At 49.8% G+C, this 23800-nt stretch overlaps 4 annotated features.

Annotated features, from left to right (window-relative positions):
- Window positions 244-1138: an enhancer, noted in NCBI's record as "H3K27ac hESC enhancer chr1:30394348-30395242 (GRCh37/hg19 assembly coordinates)". NCBI's record gives its function as "activates a minimal SCP1, AML or CMV promoter by ChIP-STARR-seq in naive H9 embryonic stem cells {active_cell/tissue: H9 hESC(naive)}" and the evidence as "EXISTENCE:reporter gene assay evidence [ECO:0000049][PMID:30033119]".
- Window positions 5597-6242: an enhancer, noted in NCBI's record as "H3K27ac-H3K4me1 hESC enhancer chr1:30399701-30400346 (GRCh37/hg19 assembly coordinates)". NCBI's record gives its function as "activates a minimal SCP1, AML or CMV promoter by ChIP-STARR-seq in naive H9 embryonic stem cells {active_cell/tissue: H9 hESC(naive)}" and the evidence as "EXISTENCE:reporter gene assay evidence [ECO:0000049][PMID:30033119]".
- Window positions 9653-10234: an enhancer, noted in NCBI's record as "H3K27ac-H3K4me1 hESC enhancer chr1:30403757-30404338 (GRCh37/hg19 assembly coordinates)". NCBI's record gives its function as "activates a minimal SCP1, AML or CMV promoter by ChIP-STARR-seq in naive H9 embryonic stem cells {active_cell/tissue: H9 hESC(naive)}" and the evidence as "EXISTENCE:reporter gene assay evidence [ECO:0000049][PMID:30033119]".
- Window positions 12197-12952: an enhancer, noted in NCBI's record as "H3K27ac-H3K4me1 hESC enhancer chr1:30406301-30407056 (GRCh37/hg19 assembly coordinates)". NCBI's record gives its function as "activates a minimal SCP1, AML or CMV promoter by ChIP-STARR-seq in primed H9 embryonic stem cells {active_cell/tissue: H9 hESC(primed)}" and the evidence as "EXISTENCE:reporter gene assay evidence [ECO:0000049][PMID:30033119]".

Consider the following 23800-nt stretch of genomic DNA (forward strand, 5'->3'; position numbering starts at 1 on the left):
TGGCTGCTGTTTTAGATACAGGCTTCATGGCTGGGGACTGTATGGCTTCCCAAAGTCCCCACTAAAGCAATAGTGCTCAGTCTTTTTGGCACCAGGGACCGGTTTGTGGAAGACAATTTTTCCACAGACGGGGGTGGGGAGTTTGGTTCTGGGATGATTCAAGTGCATTACATTTATTGTGCACTTTATTTCTTCTATTAGTACATTATAATATATAATGAAATAATTATATAACTCACCATAATGTAGAATCAGTGGGAGCCCTGAGCTTGTTTTCCTACAACTAGATGGCCCCATCTGGGGGTGATGGGAGACAGTGGCAGATCATCAGGCACTAGATTCTCATAAGAAGTGCACAACCTAGATCCCTCACTCCTGTAGTTCACAGTAGGGTTTGCACTCCTATGAGAATCTAATGCCACCATTGATCTAACAGGAGGTGGAGCTCAGGCAGTAATGTGAACAATGGGGAGCAGCTGTAAATACAGATGGAGCCTCTCTCACTCATGCTTGCCCACCACTCACCTCCTGCTATGTGGCTGTTACTAATGTGGCCTGGGGTTTGGGGGCCCCTGCACTAAAGGACATCACAAGAGGCTCATGGCTCTCATTCATGCCCCTGCGCTGGTCCTGCCTTCCCAGTCCCTGGCAGGCCCAGTGCCCAGGGCTCCCTCTCCAGCATCCTGGCATGCTAGTCTCCTGGCATCCCATCACTAGCTCAGAGCTTGGATCCTGGCCCTACAGCCTCCCTGGTCTGGGGCCACAGGATCCTACGCAAGCTCAATTGTTCTGGCTGTTGGTCCTGCCTGACCTGGGCCCCATCCTTCTGCACTGCCTCCATCTTAAACCAAATCCCATCAAACTCTATGGAACCCTGCAGTAGCCCCAATATGTTCCCCATTAATTCTCACCCCATTTCCTGTCCCTCCTCCATGGCAGGCAGGGACATCTTAGCAAACTTTGGATCCAAACTAAGCCCTGCTCCTGTTTTAAATTCCTAGTGTTTTAAAACAAAATCTGAATTCCTCATCATGGAGTGAAAACCACGGCACTGGCAGGGAGCAGATGGCCCACGTGGGAAGAACTGAAAGGAGTGGAATGGAGGGAGGGTTCTCCAAGGTGTGGCAGGCATACAGGAAGCCAGCAGGGATGGTGAGACCCCTGGGGCCAGCAACAGTGGGAGGCTGTTTTAATCTTAGTACTGAAGGGACCAAAGGAGGAAGCTGTCACCAGACCCCAGAGAGAACTGCAGCCTTGGGAAAGGAGCCATGTGATGGAGCTGGGGCCATGGGAGAGAAATGCAGCCATTGCTGCTGTGGCTCAGAGGGAGGGAGCCGGGAAATAAGCACTCGTCCTCTCTCTACTCCCGTACCTTGGTCTCCTCTGGTGCTTCCAGAACGCACAGAAGCTGGGGCACAGGAGGGCACAAGAGCCCTGTTGATGCCGTCCATGCAAGTCAGTCTTCTGGCAGGAGGCTGAGGATGGGTCTGGAGGGCACTCAGAGGATGGCAGCACATGTAGCCCCAAGGCCCACCGGATCTGTCCCTGCCTGCCCCTCTGACCTTATCTCCTGCCCTCTGCCTTTCTTACTGTTTCCACTACACTGACCTCTGCTCAGTAATATGGTTTGGGTGTGTGACCCCACCCAAATCTCCTGTTGAATTGTAATCCCCAGTGTTGGAAGTGGTGCCTGGTGGGAGGTGATTGGATCATGAGGGTAGTTCTCATGAATGGTTTAGTACCACCCCCCTTGGTACTGTATAGTGAGTGAGTTCTCAGGAGATCTGGTTGTTTGAAAGTGTGTAGCAACTCCCGCCTTGCCCTCTCCTCCTCCAGCTCTGGCCATGTAAGATGCGCCCGCTTCCCCTTTGCCTTCTGCCATGATTGTAAGTTTCCTGAGGCCTCCCCAGAAGCAGAAGCCTCCATGCTTCCTGTACAGCCTGTGGAACCGTGAGCCAATTAAACCTTTTTTCTTTATAAATTACCCAGCCTCAAGTATTTCTTTATAGCAATGTAAGAACAGGCTAACACACTCAGTTTCTCAAATGCATGGAATCCATTCCTGCCGCAGGGCCTTTGCACCTGCCTTTTCCTCTCCCTGGGAGGCTCTTCTTCCTCATCCTCTCACGGCATTGAGATCTCAGCACAAATGTCACTTCCTCCTAGTGGCTCTGCAGACACCCATCCAGCTGTGTCCCCACATCCCCCACTATCACTTCTGTCACATTGTGCTCCTTTATTTGCATGTAGCATGGATCTCCATCTGATATTTGTGATTTACTTCTTTGTCCAGGTTACAATGTCAGCCTCCCCCTGTCCCCAAGGCAGGGGCCGTGCCTTGATTATTCCCCTCTACATTCCTCAGCACCAACAGGACACACCAGCTGCTTAAAGATTGCTTGTAGAGTGACTCTGTGATCACAGGCAGTAGGTCAGTGTTATGAGCCCAGCCTCTGAAGCAACACTGAGTTTGAAACCTGGCTTTGACATTGGGCAAATAACTCAACTCCTGTGGGTCTCAGCTTCCTCCTCTTTGAAATGGGGACAATAACTATGGAATTAAATGAGTAAACGTGGGAAACATTTCCACACCTGGCTCCTAGCAGGTGCTAATGAAGCACTTACTATTATTCTTGTTGTTGATGTTGGGGAGCATCAAGCCCCCAGGAAGGGCTCCCTCCTTTAATTCCATGGGGGCTGAGCTGCTGCTTCTCTCCTGAGACTCTAGTCTGTGTCTCCTTCAGCCCCTCAAGCATGCTCTGACCACCCACCATTCCCACTCAATGCTTTCCCTTCCTCTCCCCTCCTCCACAAATGCCTCCTCAGTTCAACCGTCACCTCCTCAGGGAAGCCTCCCAGGATCTCACCTGGGACCAGATCAAACCAAGTTATCCATCTCCTCCCTGGCTGCCTGCTGGGGTAATTCATTTCACTGTAATTAACAAGACAGTGTCTGAGTCCCCCTGCCAGGATCCGTTTGTCTGGTTTCCTGCTGTAGTCCCAATGCCTGGCTCTTTTTGGCATTCAATCAATATTGCAACTTCCTGGCCTCTGAGTCCTTCCAGGTCCCCACTCCCCCACTCCAGCCAGGTGTTCAGCTCCTTTTGTGGGTCAGGCTTATCTATGATGGAGGTGGAGGAGTTCCTGAGCAGGAGGGCTAGCAGGCTTTTGGCTCAGGGTCAAGATGCCTCCTCACAGCTGGTAACACAGCCTGGGCCTGCCTGGCCCTGCCTAGTTACTGGCCTGGCTTCCATCCCCTGGTTACGCTGACCTTTTTGTCCAAGCCTCAGTTTCCCCCTCCCTCCTTCCCTCCTTCCCTCCCTCCCTCCCTCCTTCCCTCCCTCCCTCCCTCCTTCCCTCAGCATTTACTGAGCCCCTCCTCTGGACTGGACACTGAGGCTGTAATTTGCTACTCTTGACCTCAGGGCCTCTCAGCCTCCTAGAGGTGGGAAGTGCTGTGAGAGTATTGAGAAGGGGACACAGAAGGAAAGCCAGGGAGGCCCTAACCCAGCCTCCTGGGTTTCTGGGGAGTGGTCAGGGAAGGCTTCCCAGGAGAGGCATCCCCTGAGCTGAGTTTTGAAGGATACAAAAGAGCTGGCCAGGGGAATTTGAGGGAGAAGCATTCCTGGTGGAGAACAGTGCACACCTGTGTATCCCGTGGTGAGAGAAAGGTGGGTACCTTCTGGGAGCCCCATAGCAGACAGGTGGGGAGATGTGGAGGGAGGTGAAACTAGAGACTCAGTGTGGCAGATTGCAACAGGGCCACAAATTCCTCCTACCTCTGAAGCCATGCCCTTTGCTCTAGGACGTTGCTGTTTCTCCACACCTTGAATCTGGACTTGGCCTGGCTGACTTGCTTTTGCAAAAAGGGGCATCAATAAACACAAACAGCAGGTTGAAAAGCCCTAGCCCTTTCCAGTACTGGGAACGCTGCAGGCACCACCACGTGGATAAGTCTGAGCTGGTCTCTTGGAGGATGAGAGACCATGTGGAGTGAGGCCTCAGCCATCAAGTCCTCCCCGCTGTCCCAGCTGAGACCCAGACAGGTGAATGAGGCCACCTGAGACCATCCAGCCCCAGTAGAGCCTGTCGAGACAGGAAGAACTGCCCAACCAACCCATGGAATCATGAGACATAATAAACGTTTGCTGGTGGAAGCCACTGTATTTTGGGATGGTCTGTTATGCAGCAGAAGCTAACTGATACGTGGGAGGATGGACTCCATCAGTGAGGGGTCTTTTGTGCTTGGCTGGGGAGTCTGAAGTTTATCACTGTGACTATGAGAATAGACTGTGGGACACAGGATGAAATCCTGGCTCTGCCACTTATTCACTGCGGGACCTTGGGAAGTTCACTTTACCTTTCTGTATCTCTCATTTTTCATAAGCTACAGAGGGACAAAAATACCTCGAAGGACACTAAGAGTAGTGCATGTGTAAACAAACACGAAGTGCTGAGAGTATTACCTGGCACATGGTAACAGCCCAGGAAATCTGCCTTTGTATCATCAAATTCATGTTGTGACATCCCCCCTCGAGCTTGGCTTGCATCGGCTGACTCAGCACGCCGCTCTTGACTGACATGACACCTGACCTGGGCTTTTGTCTCTGCCGATAGGGTGTCCAACCACCCCAGTGTGCCCAGGACTGTCCTGGTTTTAGCACTCATAGTCCCCTGCCCCAGGAAGTCCCCTGGTAGTCCCAGGTACTTGGTCACTCTACCTGCCAGGCAACCCCTAGGTCTAAAGAAATTTCCAGTCCCAGCCCACCCAACTGCCCTAAGACGGCAGAGTCTCCTCTCCCTCACATGGCTGAGACCCTCTTGGTTTTAAAATAAGAAACACGTGCAACATGCACAGGGCTCTGAAGGAACAGCATTCTGCATGCACGTGAGGCAGTAGCCATATTGTTAGGTTGTTCTCAAAACACCTGGGGGCCTTTGGGTAATGACTGTGTCTAAATGGGGCATTGGAGCAATTGTCAATGACACCAGTGTTTCTACGACAGGCTGTTTGGCTTTATGAGAAGTTAATAAAGCATTGAGCCGACTCCTGCAATGAACACCTCCTGGTCTGTTCTCAGACAGAGGCATCAAGACCCTTTGTTTTTGCCTCCCCCACGCCAGCTTCAGAGCTTGGGGATTCCAAGGCCTGGGGGCTGGTCCCTCTTGGGGACTTGAGAAAGGGGAATGTAGGGGTTACTAGTGCCCCTGGGAGGAGTGAGGTGAGTGATGTGAGAAACAGGGGATGTGATTATGTCACGTCTTTATAAAGGATTCCCCACATCTCTCTAGTATTTGTGTTTAAAGGGGGTTAGAGACAGACCTGTTCTGACAGCCCAAAGGAAGTCTCCCCCCTGGAGGTTCAGGGGAGAGCACAGAATAGGCTGCAGAGCCTGCTCTGGTCTGAACTAAAAGGTAAAAGGGACTGAGAGGCTCAGAATGGACATGGCCCCCTTTTCCAGGGCAGGAGGCCCACCAGGCCACCTGGCTGGCCCCTGTGACCTCCTAGAAGATGAGCCTGGAATGACCCGTGTGTGCAGATGTCCTGAGGAGGCACACAGGCCAAAAGCTGGGATGATAATAGCAGACCAGGAGCACTAACAGCCAGACCCCTTCATTAGATGCCAGCCACGAGGGTGTGCCACACAGAGCAGGCCACACTGGCAGTCTTCCCCTTCATCAGGTGCCCTTTGCCCGAAGCCCTGGGGGAGGGGCAACACTGCTCCCTAGGTGGCATCTTGCTGCCCCCAGCCCACCACCTGCACCAGGGCCAAGGGGGCACCATCTCTGCCTACGTGTGACCCATCCACAGCACCAGGGCTGGGCAGTGCTGGGGGCAGGGAGGTGAAGAGGATAGGCAGGCCACACGGCAGCCTGGCTGGGTGTGAATCCTAGTAATTTCCTGACCAGCTGTGTGGCCTCGGGGAAGTAACTCCGTTTCTTGTTCGTCAGTTTCCTCATCTGTGAAATGGGAACAATCACGGTCCCACTCATCAGAGGATACTGTGAGGATAAAATGTATTGACACCAGTAAGGAGCTATGAGCAGGTGAGTCCCCCTTAACCCTTCAGATAAGAGGCTGGGAAGGAAAACGATCTGACAAACTCATTCTTGCTGACAGACAGTGCAATAATAAACTTCATCTGTTGGTGTAAAGAGCTGGAAAGCCCTGTGTCCATTTTTGCCATGTGGCACTATCCTCCCTCTGGCCATAATCATTACATTACTTTCACATGCAAATATCCTCAGGATCTCCCAAATCTCACCCAATTACAGCATAAGCCAGGATGTCCTGGATCTCATGATCAAATCAGGTCCTTAGGTGGCTGAGGATCCCTGAGCATGACTCTCTCAATCAAGAGATCCAGAAACTAAAATGACAAGAGAATGGTCCATATCATCTTGGAACCCTGGTGGGCAAATATTGCCAGGTTCTGCCACTGCAGAGACAGGGATGCCCGTGACTGGGGCCCAGGTCTGCCTTCTGGGAGTACATTGTTCTCCATGGTCTTGTCCCCCTCCTTGGGCTCTTGGCTCCACTTCCCCTCCCCACCCTCTGTAAATATAATAAAATTTCTTATAAGGAATTAGCTCAGGCCAGGCACAGTGGCTCATGCCTGTAATCCCAGCACTTTGAGAGGCAGAGGCGGGTGGATCACTTGAGGTCAGGAGTTTGAGACCAGCTTGGCCAACATGGTGAAACCCTGTCTCTACAAAAAATACAAAAATCAGCTGGACGTGGTGGTGCATGCCTGTAATCCCAGCTACTTGGGAGGCTGAGGCAGGAAGATAGTTTGAACCTGGGAGGCGGAAGTTGCAGTAAGCCAAGATCGTTTCACTGCACTCCAGCCTGGGTGACAGAGCAAGCCTCCATCTCAAAAATAAATAAATAATAAAGTAATTAGCTCAGATGATGATGATGATGAAGGCTGAGAAGTCCCCAAATTTGCTATCTACAAACTGGAGACCCAAGAAAGCTGATGGCATAGTGTAAAGGCCTGAGAGCTAAAGTGGTAACAGTGTAGACTCTAGTCCAAGTCTGAAGCCCTGAGAACTAGAAATGCTAAGGGCAAGAGATTGATGTCCCATCGCAGGCAGTCAGGCAGAGAGTGAATTCAACCTTCCTCTGCCTTTTTATTCTGTTCAGGCCCTAAAGGGATTAGACAATGCCCACCTACATCAAGGAGGGCCATCTGCCCTACTCAGTTCACCAATTCAAATAGCAATCTCTCCCAGAAACACCCTCACGGACACACGCGAATATAATGTTTAAGCAGACACCTGGGCATCCCCTGGCCAGTCAAGCTGACACATAAAATTAACTATCACAGACATTTTGACCATTCTTTCTGAAAATCGTTTTGCCAAGGTCTGCGGGTTCATTCCACATACTTTCCATCTTCCAAAGTACTGTCCATTGCTCTGCAACTACATCACATGAGTCTTTATTTTTCAAACTTGCTGTAGGAGCTTCCTCTCTGCCTTTCCCACCTCCCCTAACAGTTTTCTTACCATTTTTTCTCTAGGCTTTGCTCACAGATTTCTTGCCATGTTTCTATCTGTGCGCAGTGCCAATTTTCCTTCATTCTATTGATCAACCGAGTCACAAGGTCAGCCTGTGTTTCAGGTGAGTGGCGGCTGCCACCTGAGGAGAAGAGTCACCAATGACTATGGCTGGATCTGCCCTTTTCATACCCAAGGAATCCATGGTCAACACTGCTCAGCGCATTTTAAAAAAATTTGATGCATCAAGCGCTGATTGCCATCAATGTGTCTTGCAGCTCCTGAAACCACTGGAGGGTTTTGTTTGTTTTGCTTTGTTTTTTGTTTTTTTTTTTTTGTTGTTTTTTTGGGACAGAGTCTTGCTCCATCACCCAGGCTGGAGTGCAGTGGTGCGATCTCGGCTCACTGAAACCTCTGCCTCCCAGGTTCAAGCAATTCTCCAGTCTCAGCCTCCCGAGTAGCTGGTACTATAGGCGTGCACCACCATGCCTGGCTAACTTTTGTATTTTCAGTAGAGGCGGGGTTTCACCATATTGATTAGGCTGGTCTTGAACTTCTGACCTTGTGATCCGCCCGTCTCAGCCTCCCAAAGCACTGGGATTACAGGCATGAGCCACCGCACCCGGCCTGGAGGTTGTTTTTAGCCATGCGAGGCTAAAAATCACTGAGCTGCAGAGACCTGGACACCAGGTTCCAGACCCCAGTCTCCTAGTGGGTTGAGGGGTATTCCAACGGGAGTCACTGCTTCTCCCTTCTTCACCTTTGAGCATGCACTCATTGAGTACTTGGAGCCAGGAATCCTGTTAGTCATAGGTGGAAAGAAAAACTAAGTTGTGGTTCCGACTTGCCAAAGATTGTGGCAGAAAGTGGTAGTTTCAATTCAATTGTAGCCTCAGGGACACAACCTATTTTTCCTCCCGTGCCTGTTTTACTTTTAATTTTTAAATACAACTGCTATCCATTATCCTACTCACTGAAATTAACAATAAGTCCTGAGTATCTGCAAGTATGCAGACAATATTCAATTTTCCTATGGTTTCATAGACGTTTTGTTTTTGTCTTTGTTTCATAATTTGTTTGACTAAGGATTCAAATGGATTTGACACATGTGATTGGTTGATAAATCTATGTCTCTTTAAATTGAGAGTTTCTCCTTCACGCTTTATGTGCTCTTACAATTTATTTGCAGAAGAAACTGGGTCGTTTGTTCTATAATTTTCAGAACAACCCTTTGAAGCAGCTACTTAAGGTTCACAATCCCTACCCTAACCCAGGGCAAACCCTAGCAATGGAACCCAGCAATACTTCTTCAGCATTGAGTGGTTTAAATATAGACTATAAATAGCCTCAGATCAGCGTTGGTCAGTTTTTGCCATCAAAGTAGTTCTAAAGCCAAATTAAAGGAAAAACAAAACCCAACTTTCTCTTGGGGGACTTTGGGGATTTGGGAGTTGCAGGTAAAGGACTGGGAACCCAAATTACCCAAATGTGCAGTTGAGGAGACTGAGGCACCAAGAGGAGAAGGGTTCTCTGAGGCTGAGGTCACCTGGCTAGCAAGGGCAAGATGTGGGATTCACAGCCAAGGATTCCAGTGCACATCCAGGTTCTAAACTCCTGTGCTGAACTGCCTCCCTGCCACCTGCTAGGTCCTGGGTATAGACAGATGGGGCTCTGATCCTGCCTGGGCCTCTTGTCAGCTGAATGTGATCTAGGCTGGGGATCCTGTTGAGCCCCCACTTTCCTTGTCTACAAGGTGGGAGTAGGGCTGCCTGTCCCTGGACTGCTGTCAGGGAGGATGCTGTCTTGGAAGCAGTGGGAAAGGCGGATGCATGGTAGAAATCCTCCAGTTGGGCCCAATCCTACCACTTGTAGGGCAAGAGTGTGTGTGGTCCTCCTTGTCCCCCTCCTCTGCCCACCCCCAGCTCTGTCCTCAACCACTGGAGCCTGGCTCCCATGGGATGACACAACCTGCAGGTCTAAGAACTATCCATCCATTCCACCCTCTCCCTACAGCTGTCCCTGGACCCACCTTGTGGCCTAGGGCTGCTCACGTAGGCAGTGCGGGTTGTTCTTGGGAGAAGGAACATGACAGAGGCTTGCACAGGATCTGAAGTGGGCTTGGAGCATCCAAGAATCCCAAGGCCCTGGGCAGGCAGAGCAGGGCATAGGAAGGGAGATGCAGGTTCCAAGCACTGTGTCCTCTGTGGAGTCCTCAGGTCAAGGGGCTGTAGGCAGCCAGAGGGTGGCTGGAGTGGGTCCCTCTAAGGTGGGAATTCAGGGCAGGGGCCCTTTTTAGAGGGAGTGGGGCTAAAGGCAGGGCCGCTGTACATGCTTTTCCCCCTCTATCCCCCTCCCCTCCCCTCGGGACATCCAGAGCTGCCCATCTTCTCTCCCTCACCCCACTGCCCAACTCAGCTCAACCCCACCCCAGTCCTTACCTGCCTGCCCCTGCCCCTCTCAGCCCCCAGGCCACTTGGCTCTGCTCAGTGGGTGCACGGCTGGGGGAGCTTTATAGAAACCTCTAAAAATGAATTTTCCCTGCGTGTCAATCCTTCATCTTCTCACTGCACTACTCTCTGAGCATTTTATAGCACAGAAAAAGAGAAAGAAAAAGTCACCCTGGCATTTATTGAGATAAATAGCAAGAGTCTGTGAGGCTGAATTGTTAAAAATGCATCTTCACCTGTGCCAATGACAAGAATGCAGCTGATAAGTCCTGTCTCCTTTGTCTTCCCGAAGTGTCTCTGCACAGAGAGGGGGCTTTGTTCCCACCTCCTCCGACAATCTGGCATTCAGGCTGTGGGAATCTCTGAGACGCAGCAGTTCCACAGGAACCAACCTCGAAACACCTTTCCCATTTGGCTCTGCGCAGTGCACTGGAACCCTTCTGATTGATTTCTCATTGTTGTCTCTCCTGGGAGAGAGTGGAGGCGGTGATGCTTGCTGGCAGCCTGCTGCATTTCAGCATTTGCCTGTTCAGTGAGTTTGCTGCTATGGGGTCACACCTCCCCAATGCAGATTAGCCTAAAACAAGAAGCACTGATTTCACTTTCAAGTCTGGGAGCCCGGGACCGCCTTGCTCATGTATCTGCAGATGCTTAGTGGGTAGGCTTAGCTGGTTTGACTGGGCTTTTTCCTGAGTCTGGGGCCTTGGCTGTTACGGGGTTGACCGGTATGGCTCTGGTCCTCATGGCCTGCCCTAGGCTGGCCATATTTGCATGAGATTACAAAGTGCTTGGAGGGTGAGGGGAAGGTACATAGCTTCTTGAGCTCTAGGTGCAGAACTGGCATGACGTCGCTTTTGACACATTCTTTTGGCCAGAGCAAGCTACAAGACCAGCCCAGATTTAAGGAATAGAGAAGAAGACTCCAAATTCCAATGTGGGAGATGCGAAGTCACATTGTGAAGGGCCAGACAAGGGGGGTGGGTAATTACAGACATTTTTACAAACAATATACCTCATTTGCTTTATTTCACTGAATCCTTGAAGCCACCCTGTGAGGGAGGAGTTATTAACACCATTTTTTCAGATGAGGAAACTGAGGCTGAGAGAATTGCATTTGCTCATTCCTTTGTTTCTTCCCTCTTGATTGGGCATCTCAGGCACTGGGTACTGCTGGCACCGGGGACGTGGCTGTGACCCAGCTATGGTCAGCCTCACACTGGGGAAGATATAGGAAGGGGCAGACATGTGAACGGATGAGGACTATATGGGAAGATTCTTGCTAAAGGGGCACGGGGCTGGGGAGACTCAACATACACGAGGGTGAGGTGGGAGAGTCAGAGAAGTTTTCCCAGAGGAAGTTCTAAGCTGACCTCAGAGGAGTAGCTGGAATTAGGTAGGCAAAGAAAGGTGGGAAAAGTTTTACAGGTAGAGCAAACAGCAAGAAAAGTCAGAATTGTTCAGTGGACAGAAGGTCACAGGGCTAGAAGCGCGAAGCTGGGATCCTAGCCCAGAAGCAGCGGCTGCTAGCGTGGGACTCTCAGGACAGTGTGGATGGGTCAGCAGAAGGGTTCTCAGAAGGGCTGGCTGAGAAGGGTTCCTGGAAGTCCAGAGACACCGTGGGTGGTCAGGGAGTCCCCACCAAGCCTCCCTTCCCAGAGCCTGGAGGCCACATAAGAAGGTGGCAGCATCTCAGGTAGAGAGAACCTGGATCCTTCATCTCGGCTGGAGGCGTTGTCTACCCACAGGGAGCCCCAGCCAGGACCTCCGCTTGGGCTTTGCTCAAGAGAAACAAACATCCATTGAGTAAAGCCACTGGGATTTGGGGGCTCTTTGTCACTTCACCCACTCTGGCTGATGTAACCCAGTCCCACTCCTCATCAACCTTCATCAGCAAGTGTTCATTGAGCTCCTCCGTGGGCCAGGCTCTGTGTCACCAGGGCACGGCCATGGATGAGAACAACAGGAAGTCTCAGATGCATTTGGGGAAGCAGCCAAAAAAAATGACTAAATGAACAAATAAATAAAATCATCACCTAGACTGAAACTTGCTGTGAAAGAAATAAATAGGGTGTTAAGATAGCAAATGCTAGATGCAGGGAGGGTGTGTGGGAAGGGGAGGGGACTTCGGGAGGATGGTTGGGAAGTGCCCGAGGGAAGGAGGGAGCCACAGGGCAAGAGGAAGTTCCTGGAGAGAGGAGAGATGCCAGCTGCTCCCAGCTTTATGCAAATTACTTCTCTCCATCCTCCCAACAACCCTGGAAGGGGCTATTATTGGCCCTGTTTTACAGGGGAGGGAAACGTGGCTCCAGAGAGGTGGAGTGAAGGGGCCAGGTAGAGTTCAATCCCACTCTCAGGGAGCAGGGATGGGTCAGGGCAGGTGGGGTGGGGGTAGGGGAGAGAAGAACTTGACAGACTTACTGGGCCAAGTACTGAGATCCTATGGGTGGCCCTGGGAGTCCCTGGGACCCCAGGGATATGACCCCAAGGGATGGAAAGGTGCCTTTGGAGCCAGAAATTCAACTGGGGGGGTCATGAGAAGAGCACAGGGCCGGGATCTGACCTACACTGTCCTGGTCTGTGTGCCCTTGGTCAATGTGTTTAACCTCTCTGAGCCTCCTGTACTCATCTCTAACATGGGGAGAAACACCAGCTCTTAGGGCTGGGGTGGGAGTGAGGGAGAGGAGGTAAGTCAGTGCCTCCAACCTCAGAGCCCAGGGCCTGGTTCTCTGCTGCTGTCTTTCATCCCAAGGGGGTTTACTGAGCTCTGAGGACACACAGGCTCTGTGTCTATGCCCATCATCCAGATCCTCTCGGGCACGGGACACAGGAGGATTGTTCACTAGATGGAGCGCCATGGGAGCAGGGGCCCTGTCTGTCCACACTGCTCTATCCCTGGTACCTAGGACAGTGCTTGGCACACTCCAGGTACCTGATACATATTTGTCGAATGAATGGAATATTCCCATTTTGTAGATGAGAAAACAGAGGCCTGCAGAGTTAAAGGGAAGCGCTCCAGTCACGCAGCTGGTGGTCAGGGCAGCCAAGACTGATCCAGGTGTGGAGAGTCCCAGAGCCATGAGGACGCCCCAGTGAGTGTTTCTCTGGTGCTTGGGAAGTGAACCCACAGGCTGGGCTTGAGTGTGATGTGCTCAGGAAACCACCAGGAAGCCGGTCCTGGTACTTCTCAGGGATCTGGGGCCCAGCCGGTCCCGGCTCAGCCCACACCCTTAGACAGGCGATGCAGATCTTGGGGGGACAAGTAGGGATCAGCCCCAGCTGGGCCCAGAGACAGCCTGTGGGCAGGGCTGGGAGGAGGGGGTGGCTGAGGGCCCCTCTGCTTCCTGGGGCCTGGGCAGGATTTTGAATAATCCTGACTCATTGCTGCAGTAGGAGTGGACCAGACATCCAGCCCAGGGCCTCTGTTCTCTACGATGCTGTGCTAGGATTTTCTCCTGTCTGTGGCATCTCTGATGTGTCCAGCTGAGCATGAAATGATCCTTATAAAGCTTGTTTCATTTCAAAAAGCTCTTCTGAGATGCAAACTCTGGCCAGTTCTCATATCCACCGAAGGTGAAGAGCAATTTGTCCTTGATTAAGTAAAATGTTATAGATCACAGTGTGACCATTTTAAAATCTTTCATCTCTTCTGCTTTTTCCACCTCACAAACCATTAATTTTCACTTGTCTTCTCTGCTTCCTATCCTCACTCTGTGCCTATGAAACAAGGCCCTTTCTGTCTTTCTCCCTCTCTTTCTCCCTCCCTCCCTTCCTTCCATCCAGTATTTTTGATCCTGCGGTGTGTCCCACAGTGTTCCAGGCCCCAGGAAAACAACAGTGCATGAGATGCTGCTCTCGTGCAGCTTCCAGTCTAAAAGGAGGACAACAGAGGAAGGAGATTAAAGCTAGACACCACCCCTGCCCTCCTGAGTCTCCTTCATGGGATGTGGCGAAGGCTGCTGGGGACCTGGGACCTCGTGATAGTTGATTTTGTGTCACTTAACTGAGCTAAGGGATGCGCAGGAAGCTGGTAAAACGTTATTTGTGGGTGTGTCGGTGAGGGTGTTTCCTTTCCAGAAGAGAATGTGAGCGTGTTTCCAGAAAAGACCAGCATTTGAATGGGTAGACTGAGTCAAGAAAATCAACCTCACTGTTGTGAGAAAGGCACCGTACAATCTATTGAAGGCCTAAATAGAATGAAAAGGCGGAGGAACGGTGAATTCATTTTCTCTGTTGGAGGTGAACTGCCCATCTTCTCCTGCCCTCAGATATTCAATACTTCTGGTTTTTCGGCCTTTGAATTTGGGGACTGAATGGGACTGAATTATACCAGAGGCTTTCCTGGTTTTCCAGCTTGCAGACAGTGAATCGTGGGACCTCTCAGGTGAGAGGCAAGTCAATTCAAGACTTGTGTGAGCCAATTCCTATCTATCTATCATCTATCTATCTATCTATCTATCTATCTATCTATCTATCTATCTATCTATCTAATCTATCTATCTATCTATCTATCTATCTATCTATCTATCTATCTATCTATCATCTATCATCTGTCTATCTATCTATCTATCAATCAATCTATCATCGATCTATCTTGTCTCCTAGTGGTTCTGTTACTCTGGAGAATGCTAACTAATGCATGCTTAAATCAGCGATGTTCCCAGGGTTCTATGGAAGTAAAAAATGGGAGGTAACTAATTGTGAGGATCAGGTAAGCTGTCACTGCAGGGCGTCCCCTGATTAGCGCACTTCTCTCCCAAGACGACCTTCCCCCAAGGGCTAGAATTTGTCTCAATCATCCCCATAGTCTGGGGCCCCACTTCAGAGCCTATACCTAATAGGCAACAATAAATATCTATTGAAAGACTGCAGGGAGAGTGGGCAGGAGAGAAAGGGGATTTGAGATTTTAAAGAATTGCAGACTCAGCTTCCTCAGCTTCTGTCTGAAAAGCTGATCTGTGCAGAGAATCGATGTGTCTCCCACCCATGCAGGCAGCTGGCTCCCAAAATAGTAGCGATTTTGCCGGCCCCACCCGCACGTCAAGAATATCCTCCAGCAGCTGAGCTGATGTGTATTTTCCTGCCTGCCTGATGTTGTTTAGCGTCTGTGGCCTCATTATGGGAAAATAGACTGTCAACATGGGCTTCAGAGGCAGAACAGGGAAGAGAAATGGACTAATTTTCCCAACTGTGGACATAATGGGAAGATTCTTACCTTCGAAGGATGCTACTGGCATGGGGAATTTGCAAGGGAAATCACAGGGCTCATTGGCTGTGCATTTCTCTGCTGATGAAACACTTTTCAGGGTTGGTCTGCATGGCTGCTGGGGCTGACTGGCTGATGGAATGTGATCTAATAGCCTTATCAAAGACATTTGAGAGACCGTAGTCCCCCGCGCAGCAGATGGTCAAGGATGCTACTTTCATTCAGGCACACCTGGGTCCAAAACCAAGTGAACAGGACATTCCCAGCAGCTCCTATTTCACTCTGCCACCACCTTCTACCTGGGGACTGCCTCCCACCTGGGCCCAGGTGCAGCTCCATCTGCTCTGGGAGAGGGTCCTGGGCAGACCTGCCCCAGGAAATACTTGAGCCTCTTCATGGAGAATTCCAGACACAGAGGCCTAAAGATCTGAGAGCAGCAAACTGCAGGCTTCACCGCCCTCCCTGCATGCTCATCCCCTTCACTGTGTCCCTTAGGGCCCAGCTTGAGCTCCCCTTCCTCCAAGAATCCCTCCTTGATGCCTCCAGATCATGCTGGCCTCGTAATTCCAGTAGGGTAGTGTGGGGTTGGGGAAAGAGCACGGGACTTAGTGGCAGAGCTGGAGTTTGAGCCTCCTCTGCCATCCTGGAATGTGTGAGCTTGGGCAAATCACTTGGCTTCTCTGGGACTGCATTTCCTTCATTAAAATGTGGGCAGTAATAGGAGGGACAGCTGCCATGCTGCTTCCTCTTTGTTTTCAGGTCAGCCTCCTTCATGGGATGGTGACGTTCTCCTCGGGAGGTACCATATTTCCTTGGTCCAGCACTTTCTCATTCCAACACGTTCTCATTCTAGAGAATTTTCTACCTTTTCTTTGTTCAGCTTCACTTAGTGGTATCTCAAGAGCTGGCCTGAAACATCAGAAATATGAGGAAATGCCATTTCAAAAGATCAAAAATAGACATCACTGGTAGCCACTGAATTAATCAGTCCAGCCAGCGTGGACACTTACTGTTGCTAGGCCCTGGGCTTTACAAAGAGCTAGGAGAAGGAGACTGGTGCATAGTAAGCTCATGATAATTCTTAGCTGTTATTCTAATCATGATGATGATGATGATGATGATGATTATGATGATGATGATGAATAATGGTGATGGTGACACTTGTTCCTCATTTCCACAACCACTTTCCAGTCATCAGTCTCAGCCCCTCCTCACTGGTGCATGTCCCCCAAGGCTCTGACATCAAAAAGGGGCTTCATTCCTTCTCACTGGCTTAGGTAATTCTATGACCCACATATAAGAGGAGGGGGCATGTTTATTTTGGCTCAGGTCTTCATCTTGCTCAGGTCACACTGGGCATTAAAGCTCCCTGCAGCCAGGCCAGTGTTGACCAGGATGGCACTATGATTTTTGATTTCTGGTCATGGTGTTGGTGACTTGTCATCAGGCTGATGTTTTTCCTCTGTCTCACTTCTCATAAAAGAGACCATCATAATAGAACTAATGCCTTTTTTTTCTATGAACATCTGGTCAAGATTTTCTTGTATAGGATAATAGAAGAAATATATGGTCCATTTCTTGAACCACCAAATCGAGAATGCTACTAGATCATCTGATCCAACTGTCTTATGGTACAATTGGGGAAACTTAGGCCCAGAGTGGGCCCAAAGGTCACACAGTAAGAGTTCACACATCATTTTCCTGACTTTGTTTAGTTGCCTATCTATGTTGTCTCATAGCACATTGAGCTTAAGAAAATTATTTTTGAGCCGGGCACGATGGCTCACACCTGTAATCCCAGCACTTTGGGAGGCCAAGGCGGGTGGATCCCCTGAGGTCAGGAGTTCGAGACCAACCTGACCAACATGGTGAAACCCCGTCTCTACTAAAAATACAAAAAAAAATTAGCAGGGTGTGGTTGTGGATGCCTGTAATCCAGCTACTTGGGAGCTGAGACAGGAGAATTGCTTGAACCTGGGAGGTGGAGGTTGTGGTAAGCTGAGATTGTACCATTGCACTCCAGTCTGGGTGACAAGAGCAAAACTCTATCTCAAAAAAATTAAAAAAAAAAAGAAAAAGAAAATTGTTTTTAATTCTTCATTAGTTAATTAATAGATCTCCATTTCTTCAGGGTTGGTTTCTAAAGGTTTATTATTATTGGGTCATGTTTCTCTGTTTCTTTGTATGTCTTGTTATTTTTGTTGTTGTTGTTGTTGAGATTTTTGCATTTGAAAAAACAGTCACCTCTAGTAGTTTTTATTGACTGGTTTTATACAGGAAAATCTTCATCAATCAGTTTGGCTAGAGATTCTGCGGGTCTCTTAAACTGATAACGACTTCAATTGCCTACAAAAGCTCTACCCCTTTACATATCCCTGCTTTTATGTTATTGATGTTACAAATTACACATTTCTACATTTTGAATACATTAGCATAGTTTTATATTTATAGTCTTATGATTTTATTTTTTTAAATTCTGTACCTAAGTTAAAAATGATTTATATACCACCACTATAATATTACAGAATTCTGTACTTGCCTATATATTTTGCTTTACCAGAGATCTTTACATTTTTATATGCTTTCATATTGCTGTCTAGCATCCTTTTGACAAAGACCTGTCTTGAAGTTGTCTGTGGACCCCAACACCACCCCTCAGTGGCCCCTTTCTCTCCCTCTCTACCCCCAGTCACCCCTGAGCAAGTGGACATTTAGAAATGGAGCTAATGTGGACCTCAAACACAGGCCTAGCCTTTCATCTGCATTACCTCATGAACCCACACTGCAGTTCTAAAAGGCAGGTGCTGTCATACTCTTTATGTTGTACATGAGGGAAATGAAGCACAGAGAGGCTGAGTCACTGATCTGAGATCACCTTATGAGTGAGGAGCAGAAATGGAGCTTGAACCAAGATGTGTTTGACTCAAGCCCATGCTTGTGACTCCCCACATCACCAGGAGGAGGGAGCATGAGGGTACCAATGTGGGACGGGGGTGAGGCAGGCACAGGCAGCCCCGTCTCTAGGGTCCAGCCTTTTGCACTTTTGCACCTCTCTTCTCAATCCTGCCTGGTTCTTCTGTCTGACTCTCTCTTCCAGGCCAGGCCACATCCTCTCTTGGTCTCTGGTCTCTGAAAGTGAAAGACAGAGACCCCCAGTGATGATGGCGCTATCATTATCCCCACCCACGAATGAGGAAACTGAGGCACAGAGAGATTAAGTAACTTGTCCAACATCAGGCAATTGACTCCAAAAATCTGTAAACAAGTTCACAGTTTTTCTAAAACCCCTCCTATCTGGGTTCCTAAGAATTGGCCACTTTTCAGCTCCACTGCCCTAGAATCCGGCTCTCGATCTTCTGCTGTGACTGAAGTTCTGGGTTTGGTCAACCCTCAATGAAGGCAGTTCCTGCCTCCAGGCCTTTGCTTATGCTGTGCCCTCTCCCTCTCCCTGGAACACCCTTCTCCCTGCCTGTCCATCACTCTTACTTATACTGGGTCTATTCAAGACCCAGACCAGACATCATGTTCTGCGGACTGCCGCCACCCCACCTCCATGCATCCCTGCACCCAGCACATCCTTCATCACAGCACTTAGTGGGTGGGGCAGAGGGGACACGATTCTGTCCTCAAGACCTGCCTGTCCACTGGGTTCACTCGTCCCTTCCTTCCAACAAGATTCATAAAATGTTACTTCTGTCCTAAGACCTGCATTTCTAGAAGGATGACCAACCCCATGGTGATGGTATCATTACTTCCATTTTAGAAAATCCCCCACTCAGGTTTTGTAATTCCTGAGACCAGAGGCCCCACTAGAAGGGAGTAGTCTGAGAACTCTGACCCTGCTCCAGGCTGCCAAGGTCACCTTGGAGTTAATGAAGGAGCATGGAGGACATAAGAGCCCCCACTTTCTTCATCCATGTCAACTCCTTCTTCCTGCAGCTTTGAGCGCAGGAACTGTTCCTCCTTTGTGTCACCGGGCTGGGTGAGGACTGAACCCCTGTGCAGTGCTTCCAGCAACACAATTGCCATACAATCAGCAGTGCCATTAATTAAACATGAGTTGATTGTAAGAGCAGTGCTTGAGATGTAAAAGTGATACACTTAGGCACCAGGTAATTAACTGAAAACAACAAGCAATAAGCATGGAGCCAGGTTACTACAACAACCTGGCAGACATCATTTAGATTCTTTTTACCCCTTGACTTTTTTTGCCCAACACTAGTGTTTCCCTCCAATCCTCAGAACCAATAGGCAAGTGGGTGGATAGGAACATGGGTTGCACTGAAGAAGCTGAATCCCAGGGAGGTGAAGTGGCTTTTTCAAGGTCACACAGGAAGGTGCCAAGATCTGCCCCCATCTGACATTGGAGCCCAATCAGTGCCCAGCACAGTGTCTGACTGCTGGTGGGGGCTGCCTTGCTCCCTCCAACCCTCTTGGGGAGGTGCCCATAGCCCCAGTCCTGACTGAGCCAGACAAGGTGGTTCACACACAGACCTCCAGCCTGTCAGCTGAGAATAGCCCCATCCATGCATACAGCCAGCCGGGACTTTCTAGAGTGCTTTCACTCCCATCCCTCCATCTCAGCCCCCCAGCTCTGCACACAAAGGCCCCTTCTCAGGAGATGGGGGCCTCCTCCCTTCTCTGAGCTTTCTGTGAATGCAGGAATAGTGCCTGTGTTAAAATCCATGTCTGAATGTGCCCCTGTTGGAGGACTTAGCTCATGTATACACAGAAAATCTCTGCAGACTTGTCTTCTAATATTTATTCTGGAAACTGGAACATGCAGATAAGACGAACACCTGATGCTAAAACTGCAGAATAAATTTACATTCTCTCAGCCACAGAGAGCTGCATCATATACACCCACTTCATGAGCCAGGAAGAGGGAGGAACCCACTCCTGGTGATGGAGGGCTTTGGCAGGTTGTTCTCCAGCAGCAAAGGCCACCACTGTGGAATCCTGGTCTCTCAGGACCTAACAGTCCTCAAATCCCAGAGTTTTAAATTTCCAAGTCTTAGAATCCTTACTTAATAGAATCTTAAAACTATAATTTCTTGAGGTGGAACCCAGGATCTTAGATTCTCAAGCCGTAAGCTTTTGGCTTAATGGAATCTTAAAAACTGTAAAACATTGGGTCACAATCTTAGAACCCGAGGACATGGCAATTCTCAGAATTTCCAGATCTTTAACTATCAGCTTGCCAGTTGCTCAACCCACAGCCAAGTTCCTTCCACACTGTACCAACAAGTAGCCTCCTGGCCTCAGAGTTTCCTCCGGTGCCCCCTCCTTCAGGAAGCCTTCCCTGATCTCTAACTAGATCAAATTCCCCATTACAGGTCCCATGGCTTCATCTGCATTGCCTTGTTAGATCCCCTACAGGTTCCAGGTTACATTTATTTTCACGATTGTGTCATTGATTTTGTCTCTTCCCATCTCCTGGACTGGGAGCCCCTTGGGCTTGGGTTTGGTTTCCTTTGCTCGTGCTGCATCCCTAGCACAGGAACTGGCACGTAGCAGGTGCTCAATCAGTATTTGTCAAATGAGTAGCCAAAGTAATGAATGATTTCAATGAATGAGTGGATGACTGGCTACCAAAGCCTATACTCTTCCTACAAGGCTATAGGGAAACCTCCAATTGCCACATATCTGCCCCAAAAGGCTGGGTTAGTGTCAGCAGCAACCTTGGGTAACTGGGACCCTACTGAGCTCACATGGGTGAGGGTGTGAGGTCAGTGATTAACCCTCCCCCAGGCCTATGCTCATCCACAGAGAAACTTCTGGTATCCGGTGTTGAGAGTGGCCGCGTGGTCACTGTGGCTAAGAGCGTAGGCCATGGTGTGAGAAGCTTGCATTCAAACCCAGCTCCTCCATCTAACAGTGAAGTAGCCTCAGACAAGTTACTTGACCACCCGTGCCTCAGTTTCCCCAGCTATAAAACTGGGATTGTGCAAGTTCCTATCTCTTTTTAAATGAACTCATTAAGCTCCTGGCACAGCACTGAGTGCACAGTTGACACTCGGTGTGACTCTGCACATGCAGCCATGTGGGAACACCCAGCAGATTTGGAGGTAGAAGCTGCTTCACACGGGGCCCACATGGCAGGACCCCAGGGAGAGAGAAGCCATCCTCAGGGAGTCAAAGAGACAGACTCAGTCACAGGGTCTGGGGGGCAGAGGGAGGCCTAGATCCCAACAGTATGGAGGTGGAGCCTGAACCGAGGCTTGCCCACCCCAGCAGAGCCTGTGTCTGCCCTTGGAAACCGGCCGCATAGGCTCACAGAGGCTGGGCCTTTAGAACCCAAGCTGCCCTGCTCTGGAACACATAAGGGACCTCGCAGTGAGGAAATACATTGAACCAGGGGTCAGGGAAGGCCTGTCTGAGGAGGGGAAATTTGAGCAAGGACCTGAGTGAGTGAAGAAGGAGTAAATCATTCCAAAAAGCCTTCCAGACAGAGAACAGAATGTGCAAAGGCCCTGAGGCAGGAATGTACTTGGTGTATTCAAACAACAGCAAGACGTGGTTTGACCTCCCTGGGCTGGGAAGACCCCAAGACTTTGGGGCACATCAAGAATAAGGGAGAGGACTCTTCCCTCAGCACAGTTGACTTTAGGATGGATTCTGTGCACACAGTGGATGCTTAAGAAAAGTATAAATGTGTTCAGGTCAGGACCCTACATGGCCAGGGAGATCCTGACACCAGGTGTGTTGAGAGGGCTGGGGTGTGAGGAGTCTGGAGCCCCTTTAAAAGACCTACCTCACTCAGTCCTCCAAACCATGTATTTGTGAGAAAGTCCTCATATGAACCCATTTTACAGCTGAGAAAACTGAGGCCCAGAGAGGGGAGTAACTTGCTTTTATCACACAGCTAGAAAACAGCAGAGTCAGGATTCAAGCCTGTAACCAGGAGACACAACAGACTGGCTGATCAGCCCCACCTCACGCCTCTCCCTAAGGACAAAGTGTTCTCAGTGGGTGATGGGAACCCGCCATCCTCTATGGGGACAACAGAGCAGGTGTGTCCATGTCCAGAGGAGGCTTCAGAGTCAGGGAACCTGGGTCTGAATTCTGCCTCCTTCACTTGCTTTCTGTGTGATTCTGAGTGTGTTTACTGTACTTCCCTGTGTCTCTGTTTCCTCCTCTGTAAAATGGGAATGACAGCCTCGACCTTGGCTGGCTGCTGCAGTGATTAACTAAGAGAAAAATGTAAGGTGGACCTAGTCAGTGTTAAAAATGCTCTTCAGAGACTGGGTGCAATGGCTTATGCCTGTAATCGCGGCACTTTGGGAGGCTGAGGCAGGTGAATCACTTGAGCTCAGGAGTTTGAGACCAGCCTGGCCAACATGGTGAAACCACGTCTCTACTAAAAATACAAAAATTAGCCGGGTGTGGTGGCACTTGCCTGTAATCCAAGCTGCTTGGGAGGCTGAAGCAGGAATCGCTTGAACCCAGGAGGCCGAGGTTGCAGTGAGATGAGATCGCGCCACTGCACTCCAGCCTGGGCAACAGAGCGAGACTTTGTCTCAAAGGAAAAAAAAAAACAAAAAACAAAACACTTCAGGCACAAAGTAGGTGTTAAAAAGTTTGTCCCTCTTTTTAGGGACCAAGAGCTTCAATATTCTCCTATCTCTCATTGATTTCAGAAGATGTTCCTTAACCACACATACAGGGTGAGAAACACACTGGCCAGAAGCCGCAAGATGCTGAGGCTCTAGTCCCCCAGTTGTGTGGGCTCCGTCAGGCCACTGCTCTTCTCTGACCCTCGGTTTCCTTTTTGATGAAACTGGAACATGATACCCCCTGCAAGGCTGTTGTAGGTTGAATGCGGTGATGTAAATTGAGGGCCAAGCTTGGAGCTGGCACAGAGTGGACACTAACATATGCCAGGCTGCTTCCTTTGGTGAGAGGAGCTCCATTCTCTCTTCGAGCTGAGAGACTTTTCTGGCTTGAATGTGTAGCGGAACCGGAAGGGCAGTGAGGCCGGAAGTGGGAGGAGCCTGAGATGGACTCCTCTGCCCCAGCCTCACTGTGTACCCTAGGAGGCCACCACACCTCACTGACTCTGCATTTTCTTCTCTTTAAAACAGAGAAAATTATACTTGCCCCTAAACTTGAGCCAGGGGGCCAGGTTTCAGCGATGCCTCGAGGTCCTTCCTGGACCCAGCAAACCGCATCAGAATCTGGAAAATGAGGCAGACGAGGATTGCCTCTGTCAAGCTGCGCGAGGGGCCCAGATTGATATACTGAGAGGCACCCCATTTGGAAGCAAACACTTCATTACTGAACAAGTTTTCATAGAAGTGATCGCATCGCCTGTTCTCTGCGTTTTTAAATTGCAAAACCAATTAGCTTTCTGGCAAGGGGAAGGGAAGGCAGAGCCCCGAATGGCTTTGCCAGCTCTGCCTTTTACGATGGCCCAAGCAGGAAGCCAAGGACATGGCCATGGAGGGTGGCTGTGGCACAGAGCTGCTCACCACAGTATCAGCAGCCCCTTTCACAGGACGAGAAGACCCTCTGAGACTCTGGGGGGGCCCAAGGCTGGGGGAGATCCCTCAGAGCAGGCCGGTGGAGACTGGCTGGAGCTGCCTGGGGCAGGTGAGCTGAGCAGCCACAGATCAGATAAAAGAGTGTACACTCCCCAGTCGTGGTC

Source organism: Homo sapiens, chromosome 1 (assembly GCF_000001405.40).
Source record: "Homo sapiens chromosome 1, GRCh38.p14 Primary Assembly".
NCBI lineage: Eukaryota > Metazoa > Chordata > Mammalia > Primates > Hominidae > Homo > Homo sapiens.